This window comes from Homo sapiens, chromosome 13 (assembly GCF_000001405.40).
Source record: "Homo sapiens chromosome 13, GRCh38.p14 Primary Assembly".
Classification (NCBI taxonomy): domain Eukaryota; kingdom Metazoa; phylum Chordata; class Mammalia; order Primates; family Hominidae; genus Homo; species Homo sapiens.
Window position 1 is genome coordinate 52,095,216 of NC_000013.11, and position 21,326 is coordinate 52,116,541.

The 21,326-nt window shown below is 39.7% G+C and overlaps 1 protein-coding gene across 17 annotated transcripts in view, besides 1 other annotated feature; it reads right to left on the bottom strand.

The window, feature by feature from the left end:
* The window catches only part of NEK5 (NIMA related kinase 5), a 95,463-nt gene that overhangs the window by 61,605 nt on the left and 12,532 nt on the right, over nucleotides 1–21,326 (bottom strand). For 16 of the 17 annotated variants that reach the window (XR_941575.3, XR_941574.3, XM_047430292.1 and 13 more), the window contains 8 exons: nucleotides 17,053–17,150; nucleotides 15,279–15,362; nucleotides 15,125–15,195; nucleotides 13,103–13,189; nucleotides 9,283–9,337; nucleotides 6,877–7,077; nucleotides 6,718–6,799; nucleotides 4,528–4,661 (listed from right to left, as the gene is read on the bottom strand). Coding sequence is in view for 15 of the 17 variants with exons in the window: in XM_047430292.1 (XP_047286248.1) it covers nucleotides 4,528–4,661; nucleotides 6,718–6,799; nucleotides 6,877–7,077; nucleotides 9,283–9,337; nucleotides 13,103–13,189; nucleotides 15,125–15,195; nucleotides 15,279–15,362; nucleotides 17,053–17,150 (812 nt within the window). In the remaining 2 variants the exon portion in view is untranslated. The remainder of the gene's footprint in view (nucleotides 1–4,527; nucleotides 4,662–6,717; nucleotides 6,800–6,876; nucleotides 7,078–9,282; nucleotides 9,338–13,102; nucleotides 13,190–15,124; nucleotides 15,196–15,278; nucleotides 15,363–17,052; nucleotides 17,151–21,326) is intronic. The other variant, XM_047430295.1, reaches the window with a different exon arrangement.
* Nucleotides 9,458–9,752: an enhancer, noted in NCBI's record as "tiled region #2352; HepG2 Activating DNase matched - State 5:Enh, and K562 Activating non-DNase unmatched - State 24:Quies". NCBI's record gives its function as "activates a minimal TATA promoter and a strong SV40 promoter by Sharpr-MPRA in HepG2 and K562 cells {active_cell/tissue: HepG2 | K562}" and the evidence as "EXISTENCE:reporter gene assay evidence [ECO:0000049][PMID:27701403]".

Below are 21,326 nucleotides of genomic sequence, written 5' to 3' on the forward strand. Positions count from 1 at the left end.
TGAGCCACTGCACCTGCCTATTTTTAAAATCTTTTAAAACAAGAAGTAGTTTTCTTTGTTTTACAATTTCACCTATATACAACCTAGAAGAAAATGCTACTAATGACTTGTTGAAAAGTGGTAAAAAATATAGAAAAGTATTGAAAGGCAATAAACATTTTCTTTAAAATGTTCTCTAACATCCCAACAGTAATAGGAATATCAGAGGTAGTTCCTGTGGAAATCAATTTTACCTTTTCAAGGAACTGGAAAAATGTCAGCGTGTTCAACAGTTCGTAATTTAATTCATCCTCAAATCTTTTAGATGTGTTTTCCCTTCTACAGGTCTGATAAAGAGTCCTCTGAATCACAACATACTTTTCTTATTTCTTTAATAAAATTAAGCCCTTAGGCTGGGCACAGTGGCTCACGCCTATAATCCCAGCACTTTGGGAGGCTGAGGCGGGCATATCACTAGAGCCCAGGAATTCAAGAACAGCCTGGGCAACACAGTGAGACCCTGACTCTACAAAAAGTAAAAACTAGCTGGGCATCATGGTGCATACCGGTAGTATAGCTATTCAGGAGGCTGAGACGGTAGGATCACTTGAGCCTGGGAGGTCGAGTGATATGCTTTGGATTTGTGTCTCAGCCTGGGAGGTCGAGTGATATGCTTTGGATTTGTGTCTCTGCCCAATCTCATGTTGCACTGTAATCCCCAATGTTGGGAGACGAGGCCTGGTAAATGGATCGTTGGGGCAGATTCCCCCCTTGCTGTTCTTGTGATAGTGAGTGAGTTTTCATGAGATCTGGTTGTTCAAAAGTTTGTAGCGGCTACCCCTTCACTCTTTTCCTCCTGCATGTAAGATGAGCCTGCCTCCCCTTCTGCTATGATTATAAATTTCCTGAGGCCTCCCCAGCCATACTTCCTGTACAGCCTGCAGAACTGTGAGCCAATTAAATGTATTTTCTTTATAAATTACCCAGTCTCAGGTGTTCTTTATAGCAGTATGAGAATGGACTAACACAGTACATTGATACCAGGAGTGGGGTATTGTATAAAGATACCTGAAAATGTGAAAGTGACTTTGGAACTGGGTAATGGGCGGAGGTTGGAAGAGCGTGGAGGGCTCAGAAGAAGATAGGAAGATGATGGAAAGTTTGGAATGCCCTAGAGACTTCTTAAAATCATAGTGACCAAAATGCTGATAGTGATATGGTCAATAAAGTCCAGGCTAAGGAGGTCTCAGATGGAGATGAGGAACTTATTGAGAAATGCAGCAAAGGACACTTTTGTTATGAATTAGCAAAGAGGTTGGAGGCATTGTGCCACTACCCTAGGGATCTGTGGAACTTTGAACTTGAGAGTGATGATTTAGGGCGTCTGACAGAAAAAATTTCTAAGCAACAAAGTATTCAAGATGTGGCCTGGCTGCTCTAGCACCCTATGGTCATATTTGTGAGCAAATAAATGATGTAAAACCAGAGCTTATACTTAAAAGAGAAGCAGAGTGTAAAAGTTAGGAAAGTTTGCAGCCTAGAAAGAAAAACCCATTTTCTGGGGAGCAATTCAAACCAGCTGCAGAAATTTTCAAAAATAAAGAGGAGTCAAATGTTGTTAGCCAAGATAATGGGGGAAATGCCTTGAAGGCATTTCAGAGACCTTTGAGGCAGCCCCTCTCATCACAGGCCCAGAGGCCTAGGAGGGAAGAATGGCTTTGAGGACCAAGCCCAGGGCCCCACTGCTCTGTGCAGCCTCAGGACATGGTGTCCTGTATTGTGGCTGCTCCAGCTCCAGCCATGGTTAAAACGGCCCAAGGTACAGCTCAGGCCATTGCTTCAGAGGGTGCAAGCCGTAAATCTTGGTGGCTTCCACATGGTGTTAAGTCTGCAGATGCACAGAGTGCAAGAGTTGAGGCGTGGGAGCCTCCACCAAGATCTCAGAAGATGTATGGAAAAGCCTAGTCGTCCAGGCAGAAGCCTGTTTCAGGGGGACCCTCTACTAGGGCAGTGCAGAGGGGAAATGTGGCATTGGAGCCTCCACACAGAGTCCCCACTGGGGCACTGCTTAGTGGAGCTGTGAGAAGAGGGCCACCATTCTCCTGACTCCAAAAACGGTAGATTGAACGACAGCTTGCACCACGCACCTGGAAAAGCCGCAGACACTCAACAGCAGCCTGTGAGAGCAGCCGCAGGGGCTGTAGCCTGCAAAGCCTCAGGAGCAGAGCTGCCCAAGGCCTTGAGAGCCCACTCCTCACACCAGTATGCCCTGGATGTGAGACATGGGGTCAAAGGAATTTGGAGCTTTAAGATTTAATGACTGCCCTGCTAGGTTTTGAATTTGCATGGGGTCTATAAACCCTTTGTTTTGGCTGATTTCTCCCTTTTGAAATGGGTGTATTTACCCAATGCCTGTACCCTCATTGTATTTTGGAAGTAACTAACTTGTTTTTTATTTTACAGCCTCACAGGTGGAAGGGACTTGACTTGTCTCAGAGAGACCTTGAATTGTGGACTTTTGAGTTAATGCTGAAATGAGTTAAGCCTTGGGGGACTGTTGAGAAGGGATAATTGTATTTTGCAATGTGAGAAGGATATGGGAATTGGGAGGGGCCAAAGGTGGAATGATATGGTTTGGATTTGTGTCCCTGCCCAAATTTCATGTTGAATTGTAATCCCTGATGTTGGAGGAGGGGCCTGGTGGAAGGTGATTAGATTATGGGGACAGATTTCCCTCTTACTGTTCTTGTGATAGTAAGTTCTCCAGAGATCTGGTTGTTTACAAGTGTGTAGCACCTCCCCCTTTGCTCTCTTTCTCCTGCTCTGGCCATTTAAGATGAGCCTGCTTCCCCTTCTGCCATGATTATAAGTTTCCTGCGGCCTCCCCAGCAATGCATCCTGTACAGCCTGCAGAACTGTAAGCCAATTAAACCTCTTGTCTTTATCAACTACCCAGTCTCAAGCAGTTCTTTATAGTAGTATGAGAACAGACTAATACATCCAGGCTGCAGTGAGCTGAGACATGCCACTGCCCTCTAGCCTGGGTGACACAGCAGGACCCTCTTTCAAATAAATAAATAAATAAATAAATAAATAAATAAATAAATAAAGCCCTTTATCAAATGAAGGGCAATAACTTAAACAATCGGTTTTTAAAAAAATGTTTATATACCAACACATTTTCTAAAATGTCTATATATCAAGTAAACACTTAGTAAATACACTTCCAAATGGTTCTTAATTTAACCATGAGCCTTCTTTAAAAATACAATTCTTTAATTAAAAGACAGTAGCCATTTTATCATTTACATACCAGAAGCATTTCACTAGTATGACCTAAAAGATTCAACACTCTGCTGAAGTGAATTCAAATAATTAAACACAAAGAATCACTAGGGAAATATCAATTATTATATCATAAAAACTTCTCAATCCTATACATAATATGTTAGAATTAAGAATATTAAATGCAGAGTGTTTTCTGTTGCTATGTTACTCACTTTTCCTATACAGAAAAATCTTATTTATTAGAAATTAGAAGAATTTCAGTTATAAAAAGAAAATTAAGCCTAAAGTATACTTATAAGAGCATACAGCATTGTTTCATAAAATATAAAAACTAGAAGTTGTCCAACAAAATACCATTATAATGCTCAGTACAGAATACTTCATTTTAAGTACAAAATTTGTGGACTCCAAACAATAAGCTTGTACCTCATGAACATGTGCAGATAGGTCTGTCAGAATATACCATAGCTTAATGGGTTAAAAAAACAAAAGAATGAATAAGACCTACTATTTGATAGCACAATAGACTGCCTATGGTCAATAGTAACTTAATTGTACATTTTGAAATAAGTTACAGAGTATAACTGGGTTGTTTGTAACTCAAAGGATAAATACTTGAGGGGACAAACACCCTATTCTCCATGATGTGCTTATTTCACATTGCTTGCCTGTATCAAAACATCTCATATACCCCATAAATATATACACTTACTATGTACCCACAAAAATTTTTTTTTTAATTAAAAAATTAAAGAAAAAGAATATAACAGCTGGGTGCAGTGGCTTATGCTTGTAATACCAGCACTTTGGGAGGCCGAGGCAGGCTGATCGCAAGGTCAGGAGTTCGAGACCAGTCTGACCAACATGGTGAAACCCTGTCTCTACTAAAAGTATAAAAATTAGCCGGGGCCGGGCGCCATGGCTCACACCTGTAATCCCAGCACTTTGGGAGGCCCAGGCAGGTGGATCACGAGGTCAAGAGATGGAGACCATTCTGGCCAATATGGTGAAACCCCATCTCTACCAAAAATACAAAAATTAGCTGGGCATAGTGGCACACGTCTGTAGTCCCAGCTACTCAGGAGGCTGGGGCAGAAGAATTGCTTGAACCCGGGAGGTGGAGTTTGCGGTGAGCCGAGATCGCGCCACTGCACTCCAGCCTGGCGACAGAGCGAGACTCCGTCTCAAAACAAACAAACAAACAAACAAAAAGCATATACCATAGCTAAAAAACACAAAGGAGGGTTTAGAATGACTTACAGATCTGGCCTTCTGGGCTCCAGCTGGTGGTCTCCATTCATTTCTATGCAATATAGCATTCCTTTTAATTGGCACAGATATCCTTGATCTTGGTGGGCACTTTCCCTGGAATCTCACTTTTTGTATTTTACACTCTTAATTAACCAAAATAAAACAGCTTCAATTTTTTAAAAATTGTACACCATTAATACTGATACTTGTAAGAGTATAAACATAAGCTACATTTCATAACACAGTAAGTTTACTTTTTAGCCAGAGATATTTTACACACAGTGAGAGTACTGATGAAAAATTAATATGCAATTTCTTTAAATGAAAAAAACCATTTTTTCAGAGTCCCTTTGCATATTTCTAGTAATATATAACATCACTTTTTTTCAGAAAAATAGAAATTAATATTAACATTTACAGAAACAATATGTATGGGGTAATAATAAAAGTTATTAAATTTGGTCATTAGAGCTTGGGTTATCAGGCCACTCCATTCATGCCACATTGTTTGGAATTTATGAGTAGATCTTCTCTCTTTTTTTTTTGTTGAGACAGTCTCACTCTGTCACCCGGGCTACGGTGCAGTGGCAGGGTCTGAGCTCACTGCAACCTTCACCTCCCGAGTTCATGCGATTCTTGTGCCTCAGCCACCCAAGGAGCTGGGATTACAGGCATGGGCCACCAGGTCCAGCTAATTTTTGTATTTTTAGTAAAGACATGGTTTGGCCATGTTGGCCAGACTGGCATCAAACTCCTGGCCTCCGGTGACCTGCCCTCCTTGGCCTCCCAAAGTGCCAGGACTGAGGTATGAGTAGATCTTCTAATGCTTGTCTTTATCTCCATCAAAATTTGTTCTTGGGCTGAGTAAGGTGGCTCGCACCTGTAATCCCAGCAATTTGGGAGGCCAAGGTAGGAGGATTGTTTGAGCTCAGGAGTTCGAGACCAGCCTGGGCAACACAGTGAGACCCCATCTCAATAAAAAAAAAATTGTTCTTGTTCTCCTATCTTACCTAGATTAGAAATATGGACAATACACAGTCCCATACTCTGTACTTGTCTATTTTCTAAACATTCTCAATCTAGACTGGTATACAACAATGTTAGTCAAATTAAATGGCAAAGAGGCTCATTCACTTTCTCTTTAACTTTCCTTGATTTTAGAATCTCTGTCTCAATGGATAACATTTCCCTGTCATGGATTCCTTTGAGAGGCTTTCTGCTCCTCCTGATATTGTAAGTCCAGGCATTCAGTTACAGCTAAATTCTGGGGCTTTGACTTTCACAGCATCAAATGAATTAGTAATTTTCTCTTTCTTAACGTACCCCTCCCTCTGACACACAGCTTAGCTGATTCTTGACACCAGGACTAAAATAGTTTTCTCCGGCCTGGCGCGGTGGCTCACGCCTGTAATCCCAGCACTTTGGGAGGCAGAGGCGGGCGGATCACGAGGTCCGGAGATCGAGACCATCCTAGCTAACACAGTGAAACCTCGTCTCTACTAAAAAAATACAAAAAATTAGCCGGGAGTGGTGATGGGCGGCTGTAGTCCCAGCTACTCGGGAGGCTGAGGCAGGAGAATGGCATGAACCCGGGAGGTGGAGTTTGCAGTGAGCAGAGATCGCGCCATTGCACTCCAGCCTGGGCGACAGAGCGAGACTCCGTCTCGGAAAAAAAAAAAAGTTTTCTGTATTTATTACTACCATAAAATATCTCCTGCCTTCTTTGGGAACCACAAAGTAACAGTTCTTACTGTTATCAATTAGGCCCCAAGATCCTAACTTCAGCTCCAATGGTCCTTTGCAACAGAATTCTTAATTGCCAGTCTATCCTCTTTTAGAAAAATAAGTTTCATCTCATCATCCATGTCTATCTGCAACCTTCTCCCACTCTGTCCCTTCACTACACAAAAGTTAAGTTTGGGCTCAACCTCTTCAAGCATCTCTATTAGCATGTCCTCTGCTTCATGGAGGTTTCCTGACTAACGAGAAGGAACCCTGCAGGTCATGCATGAGCTAGATATACAACTTTCAGGCACACTCACTAGTTGCCATTTGACAAGATGATTTTTCTCCTGCTTATACTGCTTGTATTTTTTAAAATGTCCACTTTCAATATGTTTGGTGAAATTTCCTTGCATTACTCTCTGTGTGAGACATGTGTAATAAATACTTTTGATTGCATGCCAAAGTCACACTTACTCTGGACCACCTTCCCAGCATGTCGAGAAGCTGGCGCTCCTGCTCTGCATATAAGCATGTGACTGAATTCTTCCTGAATGACCTAAAACCGAACACACGTGTCAAGGACCTGCAACCCAAAATCTCTGCCAAAATCCAAACAGTCACCTCAAAACTTACCTCAGGAGTCAAATATTTGGGAATAAGATTCTCTAAAAAGGGCCTTTTCAAAATGGAATTTATGGATGGTCGGTCTCGAGGAGATACTTGAAAGAGCTGAGATATCAAGGAATGGAGCTCACGAGAAAACCCCGGAGATATTGGGGCAAAATGTGCTTGACAAATCTTCAGAACCAGCTGCTGTAAGTTGTTACCCTCAAACTGAAAGGACAAGGAGAAATGACACTAAATCAGAGAAAAGTTACTAAAGTAACAAATAATAAAAGTGTTAAAGTAACAAATATACCAAGAAGCAAAACAATGTTTTTAAATTGTAGTTAGAAGCACTAGGGTCACCTGTAATCCCAGCAATTTGGGAGGCCAAGGCAGGAGGATCACTTGAGCCCAGGAGTTCAAGACCAGCCTGGGAAACATAGTTAGACCTCATCTCTCCAAATCATGGTTTTTAAACATTTGCTGGGCTTGGTGGCATGAGCCTGTGGTCCCAGCTACTTGGGAGGCTGAGGCAAGAGGATTGTCTAAGCCCAGGCGGTCAAAGCTGCAGTAAGCCGTGATTGCGTCACTGCACTCCAGCCTGGGTGACAGAGTGAGACCCTGTCTCAATCAAAAAATAAAAAAGAAGCACTGTGGTCCACCTTAAATTGTTTTCATCAACTAATCTTTCATGAGCAGATACTGCAGTTATTCAACAAGATGCCATGTTATTTAAAACAAGTTTTTATTTTGTTTTAATTCTGTCTTATTATCAAAATAATGTTTACTCATAATAAAAAAACTGGAAGGTATAGGAAGTTATAAAGACAGGGGAAAATATGTATAATTTTACCACTCAGAGGTATAGCTCCTTCTGATCTCTTTTAAAAATGATGTTTATTTTACAAAGTTGAGGTCATATTGATATGAAATTTTATCTCTTGCTTTTTAAAATTAACATAAACATCGTTTAATTTCCTCTAAAATGCTTCATAGACCAGAAATCTTCTATTGTATGAAACCAATAGTTATTTATACATAATAATATTCAACTCCATGGTGTAGCAATAAAGGTACACATTGGCCGGGCATGGTGGCTCACGCCTGTAATCCCAGCACTCTGGGAGGCCAAGGTGGGCAGATCACCCAAGGTCAGGAGTTCAAGACCAACCTGGCCAACATGGCAAAACCCTGACTCTACTAAAAATACAAAAAAATTAGCCGGGTGTGGTGGTGGGTGCCTGTAATCCCAGCTCCTCGGGAGGCTGAGGCAAGAGAATTGCTTGTACCCAGGAGTCAGAGGTTGCAGTGAGCTGAGATCGTGCCACCGCACTCCAGTCTGGGCAACAGAGCGGGACTCCATCTCAAAAAAACAATGGAGTACACATTTTGGTCAGACACTGGCTGTGCAACCCTTGACAATAATTAATAACAATGATGACAGCTGTGGAGAAAAGAGTTGATGTAGCAAGCTCTCCTCAGAAAGGCCTGCTTACAATGTTGGCCCGTGGCTGGTGTCTGGGAACTAAGATTTCAGAAGAATTCCCACCATTCCCTGAATGTCAAGAGTGGCTATCTTTGCCTCAGCTATTTATGTGAACAAAATGGTTTATGCTGAACACGGGCTTTCTTTCCAGGAGTCTGGAAGTTTGGCATATGCCAGGTAGAGGGTGCCTATGTGACCAGTCCCCAGTAAAAATCCTGGGCACTGGGTATATCCGATGAGCTTTCTTATAGATCACATTTCACAGGTGACGTGGGTAACAATGCTGGAGGATTTGGCACATCCCATGTGACCTCTGGGAAAAGACTCTTAAAAGCTTGTGCCTGGTTTCCTATGAACTTTGCCCATGTACATTTTTCTTTTGCTGAACGTATCTATTCATACAGTAATTAATTAATTAATTATTTTTTTTAGATGGAGTCTCGCTGTCACCCAGGCTGGAGTGCAGTGGCGCAATCTCAGCTGACTGCAGCCTCTGCCTCCTGGGTTCTAGCAATTCTCGTGCCTCAGCCTCCCAACTAGCTGGGACTGCAGGCACATGCCACCATGCCTGGCTAATTTTTGTATTTTTAGTAGAGACGGGGTGTCACCATCATGTTGGCCAGGTTGGTCTCCAACTCCTGACCTCAAGTGATCCACCCGCCTCAGCCTCCCAAAGTGCTGGGATTACAGGCATGAGCCACCACGCCAAGCCCACACAATTTATTTTTAATGGAAATATGCTACACATACTATTCTCCAACTTGGACTTTTTACTTTATAATATTGCTTGGACAGCTTTCCATGTCATCTATCATTATTTTAAGTAGCTTATCCATATAATTTTTAACAATCTAATAAAACCAAACATTAACCTTTTTCTCCCAGAAGTTAATTTCTTTTCTACAATTCCAATAATTCAAGATTAGTCTGACAATGAGCATACTTACAGGATGTTTAAGTGTGCAGAGCTCATATAAGACACAGCCAAGAGACCAAATATCCCTAAAGAAGATAAGAGTTTACATGCCAAGAAAATATCCATAATTCTTAATAAAAGCTTTTATCCTTACAGTGCCTTAAATTTGTGTCGCTTTACAATTTTATGTAAGTTGATCAGCTTTTACAAATGCTTTCAGATATATCATCAATTCTTATTAGAAGATAAGAGGTAAAATGAAAACCATTTGTAGTTTGTCAGATTTCTAGTCAAAGAAAGGCACACAAACTTTGCTACAACCTGGTGGCTTAATATTTAGTTCAGCTTCCTGCTCAAAAACAATGTATGTATGATGAAATGTTGAGCAATTTGGAGGAGGCAGGCAGAACTCAAACATGGATTTGTTTTGACTCAAAAGGTAATATTTGGTTGATTTTGAAAGATATATCCTACTCAAGGCTTTTGACAGAACCAAAGTTATATTATGTGATAAACATAGTATCTGATTCTCAATAAACATTTAAAAATATACTTAAAATATATATCATGAGCTTTGCTCCTTACAGATTTAGTACTTCATAAATATTTATATGTGATTGGTTTGAGGAGTTATTTTATAGAACAAAAAGCACAATTAAATCTAAAAGATCAAAAAATGTCTAATCAGAAGTCAAGGAGTCAAAGCAAGAAGGAATCATTAAAGTGAGGAGTGAGGTAAATGGCTCCTCTAGCAGCAATGCTTTGTGCATGAGTGTGTGTGTGTGTGTGTGTGTGTGTGTGTGTGTGTCAGAGAGAAGGAGAGAGAGATAGACTCATACTAAAAGTTTGAGTACAAAAGATGGTAGTAAGTACAATAGACGGTAAGATTGGTGGGAAACAAATTTGTGGGATTTTTTTTAATAATTTTTTTTTTCATTAACAAGGTTTCACCATGTTGCTCAGGCTGGTCTCAAACTCTTGAGCTCAAGCAATACTCCCTTCTTGGCCTCCCAAAGTGCTGGGATTACAGGTGTGAGCCGCCTGCACCTGACCCAGGAAACAAACATGAACTTTCTAGACCTTCTAGAAACTCACTGACCATTTCACACCACACAGACTTTTGTCTTTACTAGGGCTTCCACAGACCCAAACTTCTCTTCTGTTCCCAGAGGACCCTCTGCAGCCAGGGCAGAGAATTCATATGCCCCCAGGGCTCAGGCAGTACTGCAGCCACCTGGGGGTTGGGTGGGGCCAGTTGCAGGCCTGAGACCACTCTGCATATTGAGGACTGTGGTGAACCAGTCCTCTAATGGAGCCAGCGGCTACCCACCTGATTATTGCTAAGATCTTCCAATTTTCAGAGGTACAAACTATGCATATTTTAAAGTCTTTCAATATTTAATTTTTTTTTGGATGTAGTGACAGGGTCTCACAATGTTGTCCAGGTTGGTCTTGAACCCCTGGACTCAAGCAATCATCCCCCTCAGCCTCCCAAAGTGCTGGGATTATAGGCATGAGCCACCATATCCAGCAGCATTTAAATGTTGATTCAAATTCTTGAAAAGCAGTACAAGCAAACAAAACAATGCAGCTGACCCAAGGCTGTCTGTGGCATGCCCTGCTCTGAACAGCCTACTTTCCGTCCAACACACCCTACCTGAATTCCTGCACAACTAACTTGAGGCCAAACTCCTTGGTGCCAGGGGATGTCTCAAAAAAAAAAAAAATCCCTGTTATTTTATTATGCAGAGAAATTCTTACTATTCTTTTTGTAAATCTCTATTGTCTGAGCTTTGCCTTCCATTTATCTCCTTCAAAGTCCAATAGCCAAGTATCTCTTGGGCATTTTTTCCTAAACAAAAGGACAATTAACTTCCAAAGGGAACTCAATCTTCCTTATCGCCAACTTGTTCAATGGCAGCCAGCTTTGAAAAATGAAATTTTTTTCCTTCTCCTTATAGGAAGCAAAAGCTCCTCTTCACCTTTTCTTGCAGTATACATTAGCATTACTGCTGAGGGCCAGGTGCGGTGGCTCACACCTGCAATCCCAGCACTTTGAGAGGCTGAGGCGGGCAGATCACCTGAGGTCAAGAATTCAAGACCAGCCCGACCAACATGGTGAAACCCCATCTCTACTAAAAATACAAAATATTAGCTGGGCATGGTGGGGCGTGCTTGCAGTCCCAGGTACTTGGGAGACTGAGGCACGAGAATTGCTTGAACCTGGGAGGCAGAGATTGCAGTGAGCCGAGATCACACCACTGCACTCCAGCCTGGATGACAGAGCCAGACTCCATCTCAAAAAAAAAAAAAATTATTGCTGAGAACCAGACTCTGATATCACATACATAAAAACTAACTGGGTTTTAAAGCTGGAAGACACCTTGAAGATTACCTAGTCAATACTCTCATTATTATGAGTTAGGGAACTGAAGCCCACAGAGGTCAACTGACTTGGTCAAGTTAGCAACTGAGCCAAGACTAGGATTCCTAGCTCCTAATCCAGTGAGCGGTCACCAGACCACATTGTCTTCTACTTCATCCTCTTCAATCTTTCTTGCAATAGACTAAACAGTGCTTCAAAGATATGAACATATAATACAAAAATGGACATCACAGTGACTGCAATTTTCGATGTTATTTTTTATACCACTTGTATCTTTAAATGAAGAGAAATGGCTTTCTTCTAAACAAGTTTGAAACCTTCAGGTAACACTGCTCAGAGATAGTCACTGGGATCCCCATTTTGTGGCAGGCCAGGTCTTACCAATGCAGGCCTCCATCACAACTGTTTCTATACTGAGTGGTGAAGTTAAATATTAAAAGCTAAAAAAGCCAGTGCCCAGCCAGGCACAGTGGCTCACACCTGTAATCTCAACACTTTGGGAGGCTGAGGCAGGCAGATCGTGAGGTCAGGAGTTTGAGACCAGCCTGGACAACATGGTGAAACTCCATCTCTACTAAAAACACAAAACTTTAGCTGGGCATGGTGGCAGCCACCTGTAATCCCAGATACTCAGGAGGCTGAGGCAGGAGAATCGCTTGAACCTGGGAGGTGGAGGTTGCAGTGAGCCGAGATCGTGCCATTGCACTCTAGCCTGGGTGACAAGAGCAAGACTCTATCTCAAAAAATAAAAAAAAAAAAGCCAGTGCCCTTATACAAAGGCTGTAATGTAACAAAAGCCCACCAAGAGTTTTGCCTAGGCCTTTCCTGGGCCTTAAACCATGACAAAATAATGAAGGAATTCTTAACAAGGAGCCTTTTAAGATTAAACAAGTTTTATTGGTGGTCTGAAGAAACTCCCCAGGCCTCCACAAACAAGTTTATTGGAGGTCTGCAGGAACTCCCTAAACCTCCATGATTTAGCAGGAGACAAAATAAGGGTAATCACCCCAGGACCTAGACCCATTTAGATTAAGTAAGCTTACTGAGGCTCCAGAAGAAAGTCTTCAGGACTCAGACCTTAGTTATAGATTAAAAGGAGTTAATCAGTATGTCTTTAAATGAATGCACACTTACACATAGACATATAGCTTAGAAGGTGTATAAGCTCTGAAAAACTTTGTAATTTTGAGTCGGTCTGGTGATAATTTCCAGGCCTTCTCCCTGTACTGGTTACAGAAATAAAAACTCTCTTCCTCCCCAGTTCATCTGCATCTCGTATTGGACCGCGAGAAATAGCAACCCAACCCTCAGTTTGGTCCAGAACAATTTCACACATGAAGCAAATGAAATTACAAAAGTACCATAAGAAAGAAAGAAGAGATTTGAATTTTAGTTTCTGGAATCTTCATTCAGTGTCATCCATCAGATTTTACTGACACTTTCAAACTAAGAGTCAGCAACTTACGTTTTATTGTTGTAGGGTTTATTCTGACAGATCTCTGGGGACAGGTAGTAAGGTGTTCCAATACAAGTTCGAGCAAGTTCCATGGAACTAGTAAATTATATTAAATAATAAATCAGCATGATTTTTTATTGGAGTAAGAAAAGTCTTAAGACATGGACATGCAAGAAAAAATGTGAAAATGGATAACACAAGATTTGATGCATACATGTGTTAGAAGAAAGCAAAACACTGTATGTTGATAAAGTAACTAAATCAGCTGATTTTTAAACTTACAATTCACCTCCCAAAAATTTACACATTAAAATATATTTTTTATGGCTTAAAGACTCCACAAAGAGATGAAATTGTCATGTTATAAAAATCTCTCAGATGTAGAGATTATCAAATTGCAACCTCATGATTTAAAACTTGGAAAATACAAAAATGAATAAGGGAGAAAAAAGTTACCCAGAATCTTAGCACCTAAAACAACTATTGTTAAAATTCTGATATATTTCCTTCCTGTCTTCTTTCCACACATATTTTTCATATAACCGTGATCACAATGTATTTAAAATTCAGAATTCCATTTTCTTTGCTTAGTATAACAAAGTTATCAAGAAGTCTTCAAAACCATAAATGTTTATGATATATTCAGGTACATGGCCATGGCCATGCCAAGCTTTATTAAATTTAACCATTTCCCAATTATTTAGGCATTTACGTTATTCCAAATTTCAAATTATTCCCTTGGAAGAAGTCCCAGAAACAGGATATTTAAAAATCTCTTGGTACATATTGCCACCAAATTGTCTTCCAAACAGGTGCACAAATTTATTTTGCTAGAAAGTGTGTAAACCAAAAATAAAATTCTAAGCCCCCCAACCAACTCATAAACCCTCCCTTTGGCCAAGGACATTCCAAAGTTAACCTGAAAAACTAGTTCAGGCCATGATGGGAAGCAGGGTCTGATATGCCTCATTAACTCCTCCTCCCCTTTGGAATTCAGGCACAGTTGACCAGCATTAACATTAAAACAGACCTTAAGACTGACAAAGCAGACTCCTTGTAGCAATAAGATACCAAAGTCCAGCCTGACTCTAGTATAACATCACATGACAGATAGCAGGCCTGAAAGGAATCAAAATATTTTACCCCAAATCATGTTTCTTTGTCCATATCTTGAAATAGTCCTGCAAAGGTATCTCTTGTGGGGAAAATCTACATTCTGAAGAAAATTCCCTTCTTTTTCCAAGGCTTTTTCCTGATCCAGGAAAAAGTTAACTAAGAGTCTGGCACCTTTTTAAATCCGATAAGAGGAAATATTTACAATCTATTCTCTCTGAGGCCTGCTACTTGGAGATTTCATCTGCATAATAAAAACCTTCATTTCCACAACCCCTTATCTTAACCCAGACACTCCCTTCCACTAATTCCAGGTCTTCAGATAGACTCTTTCAATCAATTGCCAATCAGAAAAGTTTTTAATCTACCTATGACCTGGAAGCTCCCTCCCATTCTTCCCAGCTTTGAGTTGTCCTGCTTTTCTGGACCAAACCCATGTACATCTAATTGATGTCTTGCATCTCCCTAAAATGTACAAAACCAGGTTGTAGACCGGCCACCTTGGGTACATGTTCTTAGGATCTCCTGAGGGCTATGTCACAGGCATGGACCTTTGGTCACTCGTATTTGGCTCAGAATAAATCTCTTCAAATATTTTATAGAGTTTGACTTTTTTCATTAAGAAGTGTAAACCTGCCTATTTCACGAAATTCTCTCTAGCTTTATGCATATTACAGTCACATCCATATTTGAGAAACTGGAATCACACTACAGAATATTAGCAACATCATTCTATTACACCACAATTTATCTTGAGAATTTTAATCTCAAAGTACCATCTGATGTAATGCATTTACATAAAGCTACCTAAAATTATTTAGACAACCAAGATTTTAATATCTTCTTAATCCATGATATCTAAAAATACATATTTGGGCTATTTTGACTAGAAAGAAAAATTATTTTCAAAGTACTTACTTATTCAGGACTCTTGCTATACCAAAGTCCCCAAGCTTTGCCACCATTCCGTTCTTGCTAAGAAAAATGTTCTATAAATGGAGAAAATGTCATGTTGTTTGAGGTACTTCAAGAAAAGATCAGTTCTGTCTTAGTCTTCTCTCTGAGCTGTTACCTGAGCTTTTATGTCCCTGTGTAATATCTTCCTGTCATGAATATGTTTTAGTCCTAGAGAAATCTGTACAAACCAACCGAGGATCTATAGAGAGAACACAAAACAAAGCCACTGAATAGCCTGGTAGTCACTGAAATGTCTTCATGGTAACATGCAAAAAGATAGAAATTATACACACACACACACACACATACACACATATAGTGTATGTGTATTTATAGGAATGAAGTTAATAGGTACACTTTATCATATTATTATTTTCATTCTACAACTAAAAAAATGGAGGCACAGAAAAGTAATCCAAATATCACTGGTAAAATCAAGGGAAATTCCACATGCAGAAAAAGATAAGTAGAAGCAAGGGAAAGAGGCATGCCGTTCATGTTTTTCTTTTTTTCCTACTTAACCCTGGGGTGCTAACTGCATCGTGAATAGTACACAAGCAGCCCTGTTTCCTGATAACCTGGAAGCCATTGGTTCTTCCTTTACAGTGGAAGGAGGGTGACAAGGGTGGGGAGAGAAAGAGGAAGAAATGGGGGATCTGTGAGGTTAGGAATTGTAATAAAATATCAGTATATCTAATATAAAACCAACAAATACTTTACCTTTGAAGTTTAGTTTTATTTCTAAGTCATGATTTGATTTTATCTTTGTTGACCATGAGCCTCTTTATGAAAATGTGTTCTATGCCTACAGAGATTTATTTAAACTATTCTAAAATTTCACTGGTTCTTTGTCTGCCAAATTATACAGAAAGAGGAAAATAATAGGAATAAAGCTATATTCCAGACATTAATATTCAGTTGTAATTTTAGTTCATTCCCAACAAAAAGAAATGTAACTCAAAATTTTGTCATGAGAAGCATTTTTATAAAATGTGGCAAAATAATACCTAGATAAGAAAAAAGAGTTTCTATCAATATGGAATTTAATATATAATATAAATGAGCATACAAAGAATGCTTGATTAATCTTACAGAAGTTAGAGATATTGATTTTTTAATCCTTCATATATTCAAAATATTCAACTTTAAGAGGAAATTATATGGGCATGATGCTCTTACATGCTAAAATAGAACAAAGAAACAATGGCCAAAGGAAAGATGGTGGGCCTTTCCTGTGTGCTTCTTGAGGCAATGGCCTTACCATCAATCATAAAGGAGCTAATTCAGATTCCTCTCCACACATACAAACCTGTCTCCTTCATGAGTACCACTCCCAAGAGAGTTCCAGGGAGGCTTGGAGTATAGAAGAGAAATACATTTGTGCAAAGAGAAAGTGGGAGAGGCCATTATTCTTCATCTTTTATCTCCCCCTCTTAATAACCAATGAAACTAAATAGGCATTGCCAAGACAAGCTTCTATCCTCCCTAGCAAAGTGGGATATCTAGTTTAAAACAGAGCACCAAATGGTAAAAGAGAAAACAGTGAAGCTATAAATATGTTACATGTTAAATGGCTAAGGAACACTCACATTCAGATTTTTTTTTAACCATGAAGACTTATCTCAGAGGCATCCTACATGAGATTTTCCAAACAGATTATCTTTTCTCAAGAAAATCTCACTCTCTAAAAAACAATTCAGTTTAAGTTCAATTGCAAACTTGTTCTGGACTGAATCTACCAAGAATATTGATCCACTATTTTATGGTTTCAATCTGTCTACCAAAACACATGCTTTATATCAACATAGTCTACTACTTATGACATTATAAATTTAATTCTCCCCCCACCACACATACATAAAATTAAAAAGCAAATTAGAAGTTTTTACCTGATCTTCACTAAATAACACACCCCGTTGTCTATTGATCCTTTTCATGAGATCCCCTCCATCACAATATTCCATTACAATAAACAGCCTGCCATTCTCTGTAAGAAAAGGAATCATTTGGTGCTGGAAGGATTTCAGATATTTATCAGCCATGTTCTGGCTGTGGAATCAAGATGGACTGGGTTCTAATTCCACTATACCATTTATATTTCTTAGCTCTGTGACTCTGGGCAAGTCACTTTAACTTCTCCGTGCCTCATTACCTCATCTGTAAAATGGAAATATTATAGAAATTTCTTCTTTGGATTGTTGGAAAGATTAAATGAGTTAATCCATGTCAGATGCTTAGAATAATGCCTGTACATAATGAGAGTTTAAGAAATGTTGGCTATTTTTATTAATACATTCCTTTGAGAGGTTAGAAATCTGCTGTAAAAATAGCAGCTGTGACTCTTTCATAACACCCCAGGAAGAATTAATAGCCCCTTCTTGAATTTGGGCATAAAGCCATATTTATATGGCACTTATTTATCTATGTTGTTGAATACAATAGAAACTCTTATAACTGACCTCTGCCTAAACCACTCACTAGATTACAGGACACTCTCCATTGCTATTGCCCCATCAACGTTACCACTAAATACTACTAGGCTCTCTAGTATGTCCAAGTACCTCTGCTCTTACCAATTGAACTGAATCTTACCAAGATCATTTTGTTTTTTCCCAAATATGTTTACGCCATTTATTCTTGTCTTTGTAACATAAACTGATGAAATATGAATAGAAAATGAAAGGTGATTATTTTCCAAAAGCTATGCTGAATATTTTGGAGGACTCAGTAAAAGTGAGTAGTTTTTAAAAAAAATAGCTATTGACCTAAATGTTGATGGGATGAATGAAATATAACTGGAAAACTTCTAAAAGGATTATGTACAGACTATCCACAAATCCTTGCTCCACATTAAAGAAAAGAGACTAGAAATTCTAAATAAGACACATAACTTACATAAGAAAGAAAATTCAGAACTATAGTCAGTGGACTCATAATCTACCAACTATAATTCTGAATTTTCTTGAACTGTAGTGAGTTATTCTTGTCTTTATTACATAAACTGATGAAATATGAATAGAAAATGAAAGATGTGATTATTCCTCCAAAAGCTATGCTGAATATTTTGGAGGACTCAGTGAGTTTAAAAATAAATAAATAAATAACCATTGACCTAAATGTTGAATGAAATGAATGAAATATAACTAGAAAACTTCTAAAAGGATTGTGGACAGATTATCCACAAACACTTGCTCCGTATTAAAGAAAAGAAATTATCCTTTAACAAATGCTTGTCATTTCCTTAAATTTTTTTTCTTTTTTTTTTTCCTGGCCATTTCCACTCAAAGGATGATTATGTCTTCTTATGTTAAAATATGTCTGTATAATTGCTAGGATCCAAATGTCTTTGTCTTCCCCAAATGTATATGTTGAAATTTTAACCCCCACAGTGATGGTATTAGGAGGTATAGGGCTTTTGGAAGGTGACTAGGTCATGAGGGTGGAGCCCACATTAATGGATTGCTGTCCAAGAGAGAACCCTCTCCCCTTCCACCATGTGAAGTCACAATGAGGCGGACCATCTATGAACCAGAAAGTGAACCCTCACCAGACACTGAATCTGCCTGCACCTTGATCTTGCACTTCCCAGCCTCCAGAACTGCCAGAAATAAATTTCTGCTGTTTATAAGCCACCTAGTTTATGGTATTTTGTTATAGCTGCTGGAATAGACTAAAACAGATGATTTTCTGCTCTAACCAGCTTTCTTCATTAGCCAACCAACTAACAGCTGGGATCTTGTTAGAAAAGAAGGATTTCTACTCACTTGTTTGTCTACACTTCATTCTTTTGTACCTAAACAGTAGTTAGCACATCAAAGGGGCTTAAATGTTTGTTGAGTGGATTCATTAAAAACAAACAAACAAAAAAACCCTGAAGGAACACAAAACATAAGCGCCAAAATCAGTCTTATAAGCAATTGTTGATAACATTTTCCCCTGTAGTACCCATTAAATGCCAAAATCTCTTGCCAAATATCTATCTTTTGCTATCCTACTCTTTAAAGTACCCTAACCAACTTTACTGTGGATATCAGTAACCTGGCAGTGTCTACCCTTGGTTGCTTCTAATTCACAAACCATGCATCTTCTTTCACATATTTCAATTTTTCCTCCTCTCTTCTTTAAGAGACGATCCATTCAGTTATTAACAAACTTCTATTGAGGACATGCAAAAGCAAGGAATGCTGTGTAGGAATAAAAAGCAAAGAAGCCATCCATTCTACTGTTAAGGAGGCGAAGTCTAGTTGGGGAGTCCCTCAGCATTGGGTGAGAAGTGCTGTGAAGAAGTCTGTAGGCTGGAGGGTGAGGAGAAAGCGCATGCAAGTAAGACTGGAGATCTAGGAAGGGTTCTGAGAAGATGCTTCCCCATATGCCTTAATGTCTAGAGATCGGTTATTTTCAGGAATGTGTTACTTTTAGGAGAATTGATGTTTCTTGTCATTGAAGCTCAGTCAGTAAAAGGTCTGCCACAGCAATGAAGGGATGGCAATTTCAAAACCATGGAAGAATCAGAATAATGAAACAGAGGAGACACATTATTTCATCTCACTTCCTTTTCACCAACCTCCAACTCACTCAACCTTACACTGGCTTTTGGTGAAAGAAACTGACTAAAAATTCATCATGACAGAGATACCTTTTTTTTTTTTTTTGAGACGGAATCTCGCTCTGTCACCTGGGCTGGAGTGCAGTGGCGCAATCTCGGCTCACTGCAAGCTCCGCCTCCTGGGTTCACGCCATTCTCCTGCCTCAGCCTCTCCGAGTAGCTGGGACTACAGGCGCCCGCCACCATGCCCGGCTAATTTTTTGTATTTTTAGTAGAGACAGGGTTTCACTGTGGTCTCGATCTCCTGACCTCGTGATCCACCCGCCTTGGCCTCCCAAAGTTCTGGGATTACAAGCGTGAGCCACCGCGCCCGGCCGACAGAGATAGCTTAAACTACTGGCCAGGTGCAGTGGCTCATGCCTGTAATCCCAGCACTTTGGGAGGCCGAGATGAGTGGATCACCTGAGGTCAGGAATTTGAGACCAGCCTGGCCAACATAGTGAAACCCTGTCCCTACTAAAAATACAAAAATTAGCCAGGCATGGTGGCGGGCGCCTGTAATCCCAGCTACTCAGGAGGCTGAGGCAGGAGAATTGCTTGAACCCGGGAGGTGGAGGTGCAGTGAGCCAAGATTGTGCCACTGCACTCCAGCCTGGGTGACAGAGTGAGACTCCGTCAAAAAAAAAAAAAAAAAAAAAAAAAAGAAACTACTTAATGTCAATTAGCATTATCTGACTGTAAAATAAGGATTTTCCCCCATTAGCCACTGTTAATTTTATATTTATTGGAAGTGTCTGGAAAAATCATTTATGCTCTCAAATTTTCCATCTGCTGTAAAGCTCATGGATCACTGACACTTCAAAACAATTGAGGGGCACTAAATAACCTTTTTATTTGTCAAATTCCAACATTTATTAAACAATTATTATAATTCATTCTAAAATGCACTTTTAAAAAATCAAGGGCCTGGCGCAGCAGCTCTCTCCTGTAATCCCAGCACTTTGGGAGGCCAAGGCTAAGGCAGGTGGATTGCTTGAACTTAGGTGTTTGAGACCAGCCTGGGCAACATGGCGAAAACCTGGCTCTATAATGAAAAAATATTCAAAAATTAGCCAGGTGTGGGGGTACATGCCTGTAGTCCCAGTACTCAGGAGACTGAGGTGGGAGGATCCCTTAAGCCCAGAAGGTCAAGGCTGCAGTGAGCTGTAATCACACCACTGCACTCCAGCCTGGGCAACAGAGTAAGACTGTCTCAAAAAAAAAAAAAAAAAAATCAAGATTGTTTCTTACAGACATTGGCATCTTCCAATCACTTGCTGTAGACCCGGCAGGCTTAATGTTTTCACTGCCTAAATAATTTTTAGAATACCTTAACCAACTTTGTTTGCTTATATTTTCTTTTTTATGTGTGCATTAGAGTAATATAAAATAAAACTCTGTGTTTAAATAAATGTAAAAGAGCTCTTTCTGGCCAGGCACAGTACTCACAGCACTTTTGGAGGCCATGGCGAGAGGATCACTTGAGGCCAGGAGTTCAAGGCTGCAGTGAGCCATGATCCAATTAACCCAATTGCAAGTAAATGAAATCTATAACAACCTAAATAAGCTTAGAAGAGG